This window comes from Homo sapiens, chromosome 1 (genome assembly GCF_000001405.40).
Source record: "Homo sapiens chromosome 1, GRCh38.p14 Primary Assembly".
In the NCBI taxonomy this organism is placed as follows: Eukaryota; Metazoa; Chordata; class Mammalia; order Primates; family Hominidae; genus Homo; species Homo sapiens.
In genome coordinates, this window is record NC_000001.11 from 199,361,601 (window position 1) to 199,375,397 (window position 13,797).

General features: G+C 35.0%; 1 long non-coding RNA gene and 1 pseudogene across 1 annotated transcript in view; both read left to right on the forward strand.

The window, feature by feature from the left end:
* The window catches only part of LINC02789 (long intergenic non-protein coding RNA 2789), a 244,710-nt gene that overhangs the window by 213,003 nt on the left and 17,910 nt on the right, over window positions 1-13,797 (forward strand). The window lies entirely within an intron of this gene.
* RPL23AP16 (ribosomal protein L23a pseudogene 16) lies at window positions 10,256-10,690 on the forward strand (annotated as a pseudogene).

Consider the following 13,797-nt stretch of genomic DNA (forward strand, 5'->3'; position numbering starts at 1 on the left):
AGCAACTTTGAACATTATAGTGATGGCCTTGCAGATCACAGGTAAAATAAATGAAAATGAGAAATTCATATCATATGAAAAGTATAATTATATTCCCATTTCACAAAATTAATTCCAAGTTGCTTAAAGAACTAAATATGAAAATAGAACCTTAAAGCATTTAGAATAAACATAGGAGACTACTTTTATGACGTGGTGTAGAAAAACATTTCTTAACCAAGACTTCAAAGAGACAAATCACAAAAGAAAAGATTAATAAATGTGACTCCATTATGACAAAACACATATAAACAAAGTCTTAGCCACTTAGAGACAATAGTGGCAAAATATTTAATGGCTGAAAGATTAGTATTTATAATATATGCATTTTAAAAGCTTACAAATCTCTAAGAAAAAGAGAAACTTCACAAACAAAAACGTAAGCATGCATATCACAGAATAAATGACCCATATAAATGTGGAAAGATTAAAACTACAATAACATAGTATTTACAGCCATCCAAGAAATAAATATTAATAACTCTGGCAATATTAGAAGATGACACTAGTATAAATTGGTACTATTTTAGAGAATAATCTGAAATATCTAATGAGAGTAAAAAATACATACCTTAAGACTCTGCAACACCTTTAGGCAAATCCTCTTGAAAAAATATTACCTCTATGCTCAAGGAAATATACAAAGTTGTCCCCTATGAAATTTCTACAAATAGCAGTTAATGACAAGACAGGAATTTGTAGTCGAAGAAGACAAATTTATAATTTGATATATTTAAGCTGAGTCATTTGAAACATGATGAAAAATGTGGTTGATGGTTGGAGTAGATTGTTTGAAATAAAGGGAACCAAGGAATTGTAAAATCAGGATGTTAGAAGCATCCTTAGTGAAACTACAGGCAAAAGATGAAATGGAGATAAAGGCTACAACCTAATTATTAGAATTCTTGAGAAATACAGAGAGTTTCTCTCTGGAAAGAAAAACATTAAAGAGGATCATGAAAGGGGGAGACTTGCACTTCAAAAGAGAAATCTGATTTAGTTTGCAAAACAATAATGGAAATTGCCTTGTGAGTCAGGAGAAGAGAGAAAAGAATATCAATAGACAGATCTCAAAGAAACATGAGATGACAAAGAATAAGTCTAATTAAATTAATGCAGAAAGAATAGCAATTTGCATGTCACTTATATGCAATTCTCCATTTATTCCATGTTTCTTTATTTTCAGTTGTAAAGATAAAGATTGTATGATGTTACAAAACATCCAGAATTATATTTCTAATCTTTTCCAATTGTTTGATTAGAAACCTTGATGTGATCAAGAGTAATTATCAAAGCAAACACCAGGCTTGGCAGTCAGGCAGATGTACAGCCTCTTCCTCTATTGCCTATGATATTCTGAATAGGAAGGTGATATAGCTTGGATATATGTCATCTTTAAATCTCACATTGAAATGTAATACTCAGTGTTGGAGGTGGGGCCTGATGGCAGGTGATTATTGGATCATGGAGGTGGATTTCGCATGGTTTAGTTCCATCCCCTTGGTGCTGTCCTCCTGATAGTGAATGAGCTCATGAGATCTGGTTGACTAAAAGTGTGACACATTACCTCCCACTCTTTCCTTGGTCATGTCTGACTTGGTCATGTAACATGCCTGTTTCCACTTTGCTTTCTGCCATGAGTGAAATCTCCCTGAGGCCTTTACAGAAGCTGAGTAGATGCTGGTGCCATGCTTCCTGTGTAGCCTGTGGAATCATGAGCCTATTAAAACTCTTTCCTTTATAAATTACCCAGCTTCACATATTTCTTTATACCAACACAAGAATGGACTAACATAGAAGGCATAGCTTTGTTGATCACTTTTGGTTGAATTTGAAGATGCTGTAAACTGAAGCCCATGTGAAGAAGAAATAACCCTTTATCATTTTATATTGTGACTATTTGATTCTTCTCTCTTTTCTTCTTTATTAGTCTTGCTAGCGGACTATCAGTTTTGTTGGTCTTTTCAAAAAACCAGCTCCTGGATTCACTGATTTTTTGAAGGGTTTTTTTGTGTCTCTATTTCCTTCAGTTCTGCTCTGATCTTAGTTATTTCTCGCCTTCTGCTAGCTTTTGAATGTGTTTGCTCTTGCTTCTCTAGCTCTTTCAATTGTGTTGTTAGGGTGTCAATTTTAGATCTTTCCTGCTTTCTCTTATGGGCATTTAGTGCTATAAATTTCCCTCTACACACTGCTTTGAATGTGTCCCAGAGATTCTGGTATGTTGTGTCTTTGTTCTCATTGGTTTCAAAGAACATCTTTATTTCTGCCTTCATTTCATTATGTACCCAGTAGTCATTCAGGAGCAGGTTGTTCAGTTTCCATGTAGTTGAGCAGTTTTGAGTGAATTTCTTAATCCTGAGTTCTAGTTTGATTGCACTGTGGTCTGAGAGACAGTTTGTTATAATTTCTGTTCTTTTACATTTGCTGAGGAGTGCTTTGCTTACATCTATGTGGTCAATTTTGGAATAGATGTGGTGTCGTGCTGAAAAGAATGTATCTTCTGTTGATTTGGGGTGGAGAGTTCTGTAGATGTCTATTAGGTCCACTTGGTGCAGAGCTGAGTTCAATTCCTGGATATCCTTATTAACTTTCTGTCTCATTGATCTGTCTAATGTTGACAGTGGGTTATTAAAATCTCCCATTATTATTGTGTGGGAGTCTAAGTCTCTTTGTAGGTCTCTAAGGACTTTCTTTATGAATCTGGGTGCTCCTGTATTGGGTGCATATAGATTTAGGATAGTTAGTTCTTCTTGTTGAATTGATCCCCTTACCATTATGTAATGGCCTTCTTTGTCTCTTTTGATCTTTGTTGGTTTAAAGTCTGTTTTATCAGAGACTAGGATTGCAACCCCTGCCTTTTTTTTCTTTTCCATTTGCTTGGTAGATCTTACTCCATCCCTTTATTTTGAGCCTATGTGTGTCTCTGCACATGAGATGGGTTTCCTGAATACAGCACACTGATGGGTCTTGACTCTTCATCCAATTTGCCAGTCTGTGTCTTTTAATTGGAGCATTTAGCCCATTTACATTTAAGGGTAATATTGTTATGTGTGAATTTGATCCTGTCTTTATGATGCTGGCTGGTTATTTTGCTCGTTAGTTTATGCAGTTTCTTCCTAGCCTCAATGGATTCCACAGAAATACAAACTACCATCAGAGAATACTATAAACAACTCTATGCAAATAAACTAGAAAATCTAGAAGAAATTGATAAATTCCTTGAGACATACACCCTCCCAAGACTAAACCAGGAAGAAGTTGAATCTCTGAATAGACCAATAACAGGAGCTGAAATTGAGGCAATAATTAATAGCTTACCAACCAAAAAAAGTCCAGGACCAGATGGATTCACAGCCGAATTCTACCAGAGGTACAAGGAGGAGCTGGTACCATTACTTCTGAAACTATTCCAATCAATAGAAAAAGAGGGAATCCTCCCTAACTCATTTTACGAGGCCAGGATCATCCTGATACCAAAGCCTGGCAGAGACAGAACAAAAAAAGAGAATTTTAGACCAATATCCCTGATGAACATAGATGCAAAAATCCTCAATAAAATACTGGCAAACCGAATCCAGCAGCACATCAAAAAGCTTATCCACCATGATCAAGTGGGCTTCATCCCTGGGATGCAAGGCTGGTTCAACATACGCAAATCAATAAACGTCATCCAGCATATAAACAGAACCAATGACAAAAACCACATGATTATCTCAATAGATGCAGAAAAGGCCTTTGATAAAATTCAATAACTCCTCATGCTAAAAACTCTCAATAAATTAGGTATTGATGGGAGGTACCTCAAAATAATAAGAGCTATCTATGACAAACCCACAGCCAATATCATACTGAATGGGCAAAAACTGGAAGCATTCCCTTTAAAAGCTGGCACAAGACAGGGATGCCCTCTCTCACCACTCCTATTCAACATAGGGTTGGAAGTTCTGGCCAGGGCAATCAGGCAGGAGAAGGAAATAAAGGGTATTCAGTTAGGAAAAGAGGAAGTCAAATTGTCCCTTTTTGCAGATGACATGACTGTATATCTAGAAAACCCCATCATCTCAGCCCAAAATCTCCTTAAGCCGATAAGCAACTTCAGCAAAGTCTCAGGATACAAAATCAATGTGCAAAAATCACAAGCATTCTTATACCCCAATAACAGACAAACAGAGAGCCAAATCATGAGTGAACTCCCATTCACAATTGCTTCAAAGAGAATAAAATACCTAGGATCCAACTTACAAGGGACATGAAGGACCTCTTCAAGGAGAATTACAAACCACTGCTCAATGAAATAAAAGAGGATACAAACAAATGTAAGAACATTCCATGTTCATGGGTAGGAAGAATCAATATCATGAAAATGGCCATACTGTCCAAGGTAATTTATAGATTCAATGCCATCCCTATCAAGCTACCAACGACTTTCTTCACAGAATTGGAAAAAACTACTTTAAAGTTCATATGGAACCAAAAAAGAGCCCGCATTGCCAAGTCAATCCTAAGCCAAAAGAACAAAGCTGGAGGCATCACGCTACCTGACTTCAAACTATACTACAAGGCTACAGTAACCAAAACAGCATGGTACTGCTACCAAAACAGAGATATAGACCAATGGAACAGAACAGAGCCCTCAGAAATAATGCCGCATATCTACAACCATCTGATCTTTGAGAAACCTGACAAAAACAAGAACTGGGGAAACAATTCCCCATTTAATAAATGGTGCTGGGAAAACTGGCTAGCCATATATAGAAAGCTGAAACTGGATCCCTTCCTTACACCTTATACAAAAATTAATTCAAGATGGATTAAAGACTTAAATGTTAGACCTAAAACCATAAAAACCCTAGAAGAAAACCTAGGCAATACCATTCAGGACATAGGCATGGGCAAGGACTTCATGTCTAAAACACCAAAAGCAATGGCAACAAAAGCCAAAATTGACAAACGGGATCTAATTAAACTAAAGAGCTTCTGCACAGCCAAGGAAACTGTCATCAGAGTGAACAGGCAACCTACAGAATGGGAGAAAATTTTTGCAATCTACTCGTCTGACAAATGGCTAATATCTAGAATCTACAATGAACTCAAACAAATTTACAAGAAAAAAACAAACAACCCCATCAACAAGTGGGCGAAGGATATGAACAGACACTTCTCAAAAGAAGACATTTATGCAGCCAAAAGACACATGAAAAGATGCTCATCATCACTGGCCATCAGAGAAATGCAAATCAAAAACACACTGAGATACCATCTCACACCAGTTAAAATGGCGATCATTAAAAAGTCAGGAAACAACAGGTGCTGGAGAGGATGTGGAGAAATAGGAATGCTTTTACACTATTGGTGGGACTGTAAACTAGTTCAACTGTTGTGGAAGTTAGTGTGGTGATTCCTCAGGGATCTAGAACTAGAAATACCATTTGACCCAGCCATCCCATTACTGGGTATATACCCAAAGGATTATAAATCGTGCTGCTATAAAGACACATGCACACGTTTGTTTATTGTGGCACTATTTACAAAAGCAAAGACTTGGAACCAAGCCACATGTCCAACAATGATAGACTGGATTAAGAAAATGTGGCACATATACACCATGGAATACCATGCAGCCATAAAAAATGATGAGTTCATGTCCTTTGTAGGGACACGGATGAAGCTGGAAACCATCATTCTCAGCAAACTATCACAAGAGGAAAAAACCAAACACTGCATGCTCTCACTCATAGGTGGGAATTGAACAATAAGAACACATGGACACAGGAAGGGGAACATCACACACTGGGGACTGTTGTGGGGTGGGGGGAGGGGGGAGGGATAGAATTAGGGATATACCTAATGTTAAATGACAAGTTAATGGGTGCAGCACACCAACATGGTACATGTATACATATATAACTAACCTGCACGTTGTGTACATGTACCCTAAAACTTAAAGTATAATAAAAAAATAAAAAAAGAAGAAATAAGCAAAATTTATTTTTTCTCTTTCATTTTTAATTTGCTATCCTTATTGGATATCAGATTTATGATAAGTATTTTAAATATCAATTTAGTCTGGAATCCTGGAAAAGAAGGAAAGAAGGAAGGAAGAAAGAGGAAGAAAAGAAGGGAAAAAGAAAGAAATATGGGGTTAAGCAAGTCTATTAAATTGGGTTAATGACTATATTACCAGTTGAAAGGGCCTCAATCTTTTAAATGAAGCCATGATAAAACAGTAAAATTAATTACCAAAGAGCCACATTAAGAATGGGAAAAAGACCCATTGAGTAGACAGGCAAGGAAGGGCTGATTTTAAGAACCTCTTATGGCATTCTACTCTCCAACCAGGCCCCTTGTCATCTAAACCATCGGATACTGCAAAAGAACTTCTGTTTTTTCCTCACCCACTATTCCTAATCTTGAATCTTATTTAATGAACAAATACTGGTTAAATGTAGACTTAACATTAAAATGTATTTACTGAAATATATTGATCTTATTAAAAATAATATTAAAACTTCTTGAGATATTCTCAATAGTTGGTTTGATTTAATTTTTGAAAAGTTCCAAAGAACTATTTTTGAGCTCCAGTGTTTAATAGTCAAAAATTGGGGCATAGATGCATCACCACCTTATGTGGGATCTGCCTCTCTGCGCCATACACGTGTGGAACTCAGAGCAAGCCACGTCCCCTCCTCTGGCCACAGTTAATTCATATGATGGTGGTTAACTCATTCAAGTAGAGTCAGAATCCCTTTACCCAGAATTTGGAATTGGGACTAAGAGACCAATTCAGTTCCTTTCCAGAAAGGAATTTAGTAGTGTCTTGTTTGAGAACCTGAGAAGCACAGTGAGTCAATGTATGAAGAGAAAGAACAAAGCATATGTGAAGGGAGGAATAGGAAGCCTCAGAGAATAATAGAGAGTAAAGATGAGGAGAGGAGCTTGAAAAAGTATTCTTGGTTTCAAGGGCTTGGATGCATTTCAACTGTAGAGTTTCACGAAATCATTCAGTCTTTTTATAGTAAGTTATTTCTCCTTAAGCTGGTTTAAATGGGTTTTCTGTTATTTGAAAACCAGAGTCCTAGCTATTATAACCACTTTCTAATCATTACTGATCATGGAATTACTAATCCCTATGCCTACTTACGTTTTTCAAATTATAAACTCCTTCAGAATAAAGTCTAGTTTATAATCATGTTAGTGACCCTGCTTCATCAACCTTCTCTCTGGGCTTCACCTCAAAGTATTACTCTGCAATGCAGTGATTGAACTGCTAAGAAAAGTCTGTTGAATAGATGGATTTATTGAGTGATAGAGGCTTCAATTGTCTAGACTTGTAAGTGTGTGATGTTCTCTCTTCTGCTTTTGCCCCCACCCTTTTTATTTAGACCATTTAAGATGAATTTTTAAATACCAGGGCCATGACTGATAGAACAGCTAGTGCTCTCAGGTGTAAAAAGAACATGATGGTACAAATGACAAGTTACCTTCTAGAGTAATCTAAGCCTATGTCTACTGAACCAGTTTTCCACAAATGAAATACATTTAGTTGTACTCTCCAGTTCTTGATTATTTGGGAAAAAATAGCACAGAACCCTGAGGCCAGATGCCTTGAGTTATGTCCTAAATATGCCTGTAAAAGGTTTTGTTCGTTTTTTAATGGTATGAAACACAATGATCAACATATTAGTTAATAACGCCTTTCTTATATATAAAAGAAGAAAGTTGAATTACTACATGATCTCTAAGATGCCTTCCAAGTTTTAACATTATTTGACTTAATTCTTTATAGAAGGATTGACATTATAAACTATCAACAGCCATTATAACACTTTTGTTGAATTTCAACAGATGGGACAACCACAGCAAGGCACCAATTGCTGTTAATGGCAACTAAATAGGACATATGTATATATATGAAGAGTTGTTTCCTCTCCACAGACAAACTGCTTTTTCTTGACTTTTTAAATATGCTTCACCCAGCATGTAACTGTATTCTTAATTAATATGTCCTTTTACAGAATTTTTCTTTTGAATTTTTTTTCAGGAATGGATTTTAATCCTAATAACTGAAGAAGGTATAGTTTAAAAAATTTGTAAGTTATTTTGTATGTCAAATCATACTTTTCTCAAATGACCATGATCAATCTTAAAAGAAATTTCATTAACATTTTATTTATTTACATTTTTACTTTTCTAGAGACAGGATCTTGCTCTGTCACCCAAGCTGAATATTTTTAATGTCTCTAAGAAACAGGAATAAAACAAGTTGCATCCGAAACTTTCATAAGCTTACTGTATTGAGAAAGTTTCCAAGCCCTGACACAGGGAGAGGAACCCAGATGGAGCGCAGTGGTCTCTTTACATTGAGGAGACAGAGTTGAAAGTACAGGAGACTAAGGCAACAGGAGTTTTAGGGCAGAATACTGGAGGGGAGAGAGTCACGCAAAAATAGAATCCTGGATGTTTGCAGAGCTCTCTCCACTTGAAGTCTCCAGCTGATTATTCATCTGAACATACATGTGAAATAACTACTTGAGGTCAGGTAAAGAACCACCTGAAAGAATTAGGGAGAACAGTTCCCATGAATCATGTAGCACTAATAATAGTTGGTATTCTCATCAGCCAGAGTGGTAAAAACCTTGCAATACATGCAGAGTTAAGTAGAGTACCCAGAGAATATTACCTCAATTATGGAAGAAAATATAATTTTAATATAGTCATATCTAGCATCCAATAAGGCTATATTCACAATGTTTGGCATTTAAATAAACATTATTAGGCATTCAAAGAATCAGAAAAATATAATTCATAATGAGGAGAAATACCAATCAAAACTGCACGATATGACACAGATGATAGAATTAGTAATACGAGGACTTTATATGGATATTCTTATGCTCAGGGTAGAAGAAATAAAAAGTACATTCAGAAAGACCATAGGTTTTTTAGACAGAGGATTAATGCATTTATTACACAAATTACTAACTCGTTTCTCATCTATGAATCTAGGTTGATAAGCTCTTGGAATAAGAAAGCCCAGCCTGGCAGCCATGGACCTTTGTTGCGGTCAGAATGAGTTGCAAAGATAATAAGGAGAGTTCCCTTCACCCAACTTCTCTACACTAGCCTCTTACATAATTATGGTACATTATTAATAGCAGGAAATTAACATCAATACAATGTTATTAACTAAAGACTTTATTTAGATTTCAGCAGTTTTTTCCCTAATGTTCTTTTTTTAAGCCATCATTGATCTTCTAGAGGTGAAAAACAGAGGTTGAAATAAAAAGTTAATGGTATAGGATTAATAGCAAATTATACTCTTTAGAGAAAAAGACTAGTGAATATGAATAAATAAAAATAAAAACCAACCAATATGAAACAAACACAGAGAAAAAAGAATTTAAACAAAAACAAATAGAGCCACAGTAAAATGTGAGGCAACTTCAAGTAGCCTAACACACATGTAATTGGAAGACTTGCAGAGAGACAGACAGGAGCATTAAAAATATTTGAACAAATAATGGCCAAAATTTTTCCAAAATTGATAAAATTCTAAAGCTGCAGATCAAAGAAGCACAAGTAAAAGAATCATCAGAGAAACTACACAAAGGCACATCATAATCAAATTTGCCTTAAACCAGTGATAAAGAGAAAATATTAAAAGAAGAAAAAAAGACTTACTTAAAGAGAGGAACAAAGATATGAATGAAGCACTTTTATCAAAATAGAAGATAGTTAAGCAACATCTTTAAAATATTGAAAGAAACATTTGTCAGCCTAGATTTCTATGCTATGCAACAATATTTATGAGAACAGAAAGCGAAACAAAGACAATTTTTCAGACATACAAAATCTGAAAGAATTTTTTACCAACACTTAAAAAATGTTAAGAAAAATTGTTCAAGCATTCAGAAAATAATACCATATGGAAATCTGTAGCTACACAAAGAAATGAAGAGCACAGAAATAGAAAAGACATAGAAAAATTTTAACTAAGTTATTCTTATATTTTAAATAACTTAAAAAAATAATTAGCTAGTTAGTTGATTTCTGACTAACTGGTCAGAAATACTGGTCAGAAATACTGGTGTAAAGCCATTTCATTGGAAAAAGGATTTTCTGTTCAAAAATAGTGCTGGAACAATTGGCAACCCATATGCAAAAGGAAAAACATAGACCATACCTCACACCATACACAAAAATTAACTCATGATGGACAAGAATGCACTGAGGGTGAAGTAGGATTCTCCTGCCCCTCCCAAAGCCAAAGCAAAGGCTTTGAAGGCCAAGAAGGTAGTGCTGAAAGGCATCCATAGCCACACAAAAAAGATGATTTGTGGGGGCCCAAGACACTGTGCCTCCAAAGGCAGCCCAAATATCCTTGGAAAACCCCAGGAAAAACAACCTTGGCTACTATGCCAACATCAAGTTCCCCTGACCACTGAGTCAGCCATGAAGAAGAAAGAAGACAACAACACACTTGTGTTCATTGTAGATGTTAAAGCCAGTGAGCACCAGGTCAAACAGGGTATGAAGAAGGTGTATGACATTGATGTGGCCAAGGTCAACACCCTGATCAGCCTCATGGAGAGAAGAAAGTATATTTTCAACTGTCAACTGGTTCCTGATTATGATGCTTTTGATGTCACCATAAGATATAAAACAGACATTAACAAATGTTGATGAAGGTGTAGAGAAAATGGATCCCTTAGACATTGCTGGTGGAAATGTAAAATGGTGCAGCCATTTGGAGAACAGTTTGGGAGCTTCTTATAAAGTTAAACATAAAACTACCATAAAACCCAGAAATTTCACTCCTAGGTGTCTACCCAAGAGAAATGAAAACATATGTTCACACAAAGACACCCACATGAATGTTTACAACAGGGTTATTCATTATAGCTGAAAACTATAGACTCTATCTGGGTTCCTGTCCTTGTACCATGGCTTGGAAGCTCTCTCAATGTCATAAGCTGATAAAAGTTTAGTGCTCAACTTGTTTTATTCTTGTTTCTTAGAGGCATTAAAATATTAATAAAATTTATTTTAAGATTATGATTATTGTGAGAAAATTATAATTTGATATACAAAATAACTTATAACTAAAATTTTAAAATTATATTGACTTTCAGAAAGTATAACCTTACTATAAGTAAAGTTCTTATACTATATATGATATAATATAATATAATCCAATACTATATGAAGCTAGACTGTGATAAATTAAAGAGGTACACTATAGACTTTAAGACAACTACTAAAAACTCAAAATGTTATAGCTAATAAATTAATAATGTAGACAAAAATTAACTTTAAAATACAGCTAATTCAGCAGAAGGCAAAGTGGGCACAAGGAACAAAGAAATATGGGATGTATAAGAGAAAGTAACAAATTATAGACTCAAACACAATCATAGAGATAATCACATTAAATATAAAATATCTAAATACTCCTATTAAAAGGCAGAGGTTGTCAGATATATCAAAAGGTAAGACTCAACTATATGCTGCCTACAAGATTCTACTTAAAATATGAATACACAAAGAGATCAATATGGTTTTGCTGTGTTGCCACCCAAATATCATCTTGAATTGTGGTTCCCATAATCCCCATGTGTCGTGGGAGGGATCAGGTGGAGATAGTTGAATCATAGAGGTGGTTTCCCCCATCCTGTTGTCAGTGATAGTGAGTTAGTTCTCACAAGATTTGATGGTTTTATTAAGGGGCTTCCCCCTTCACTAGGCACTCATTCTTCTCCTTTCTGCCGTCATGTGAGGAAGGATGTGTTTGCTTGCCCTTCTGCCCAGATTGTAAGTTTCCTGAGCCTCCCCAGCCCAGCAGAACTGAGTCAATTAAACCTCTTTTCTTTATAAATTCCAGTATTGGGCAGTTCTTTATAGTAACATGAGAATGGACTAACATGTAGATTAAAAATACATCAATGGAAAAAGACATATCATGCTAAAACTATTTTTTAAATCTGGAGTATCTGCATAAATATTAGAAACAGATGATTTCATAGCAGATAAGATTACCAGGAATAAATATCCATGAAGAAGTCAATTCATGAAAAAGATAAAACAAATAATCTCAAATGTTTATGTACCTAATAGCATAACTTCAAGGATTATAAAGAAAATCCATAATGGAACATATCATGGAACTAAGACAATATAAGATAATCAACAATTATAGTCAAAGATTTCAACTTACCTCTCAATAATTAGTAGTACAAAGAGATGTAAAATCAGTTAAGATACAGAAGATTTGAACAGCAGCATCAATCAACTTGATCCAATTCACATTTATAAAATACTTCACACAAAATAGCATAAGGGACGCTCATTTCCAGTGCCCACAAAACATTTACCAGGCGAGACTATATTCTGACCCACAAATTTTAAAGAACATAAATCATACAAATGTATTATCTGACCAGAGTGAAGCTTAGGTAGACATTAATAACAGAAAGATATCTAGAAAATCTCTAAATGTTTGGAAAATAAACAACACACTTCTAAATAACCTATGGGTTAAACAAGAATGCAAAATGAAAACTAAGTGAATGAATTTGTGGAATTAAATTAGTGTTTAATTTATAGCACTAACACCTATATTAAAAACAAAAGGTTTAAAATTGGCCAAGCGCGGTGGCTCATGCCTGTAATCCCAACACTTTGGGAAGCCGAGGGAGGCAGATCATCTGAGGTCAGGAGTTCAAGACCAGCCTGGTCAACAGGGTAAAACCCTGTCTCTACTAAGAATACTGAAAATTAGCTGGGCATGGTGGCACATGCCTGTAATCCCAGCTACTTAGGAGGCTGAGGCAGGAGAATCACTTGCAACTAGGAGGTGAAAGTTGCAGTGAGCCGAGATTGAGCCATTGCACTCCAGCCTGGGCAAAAACAGTGAAACTCTGTCTCAAAAAAAAAAAAAAAAAAGAAAAGAAAGAAAGGTCTAAAATTAATGACCTAAGCTGCCACCTAAAGACACTTAAAAAAAATAGCAAATCAAACACAAAATAAGCAGAAATAAGAAAATAATTAAGATTATAATCATATAATTATTATATTAATTATGCATAATTATATCTAATTGTACTAATTAAATATTTCTGATAATTATATAATAATTCAAAGCAAAAAATTCAATGTTATGGTAAACATAATGTTCTCCATTGTTTATAAAGGTCAATGAAAATAAAAAACAATTGTTCCTTTGAAAAGATCAGTAACATAAATAAACCTAGTAGATTTGTCAGAAAATGTAAGAGGAGAAAACTCACAAAACACCAATATCAAGAATGAAATAGGAATCATAACTATAGATCCCACAATTATAACTTTTAAAGTAATTAAATTTGTCTTTTAAAACTTCCCAAAATAAAAACTCCAGACCCATATGATTTCACCAGTGGATTTCACCAAATATCTAAGGAAAAGGGATTATCAATTCTATACAAATTCTTCCATAAATTGAAGAAAAGAGAATACTTTTCAAGTCATTCTCTAAGAAGAGAATTAACTGAGAGGAGGTCAAAATATCAACATTAACAGGAGTTTGAAAGAAGTCAATTCCAAGTCTCATAGATGACCTTGAGAGGCTCAAGACTTCAGTAGAAGAAGTCACTGCAGATGTGGTGGAAAGAGAAAGAGAACTAGAATTAGAAGTGGAGCCTAATATTGTGACTGAATTGTTGTAATACCATGATAAAATCTGAATGGATGAGGAGCTGCTTCTTCAGGACGAGCAAAGAA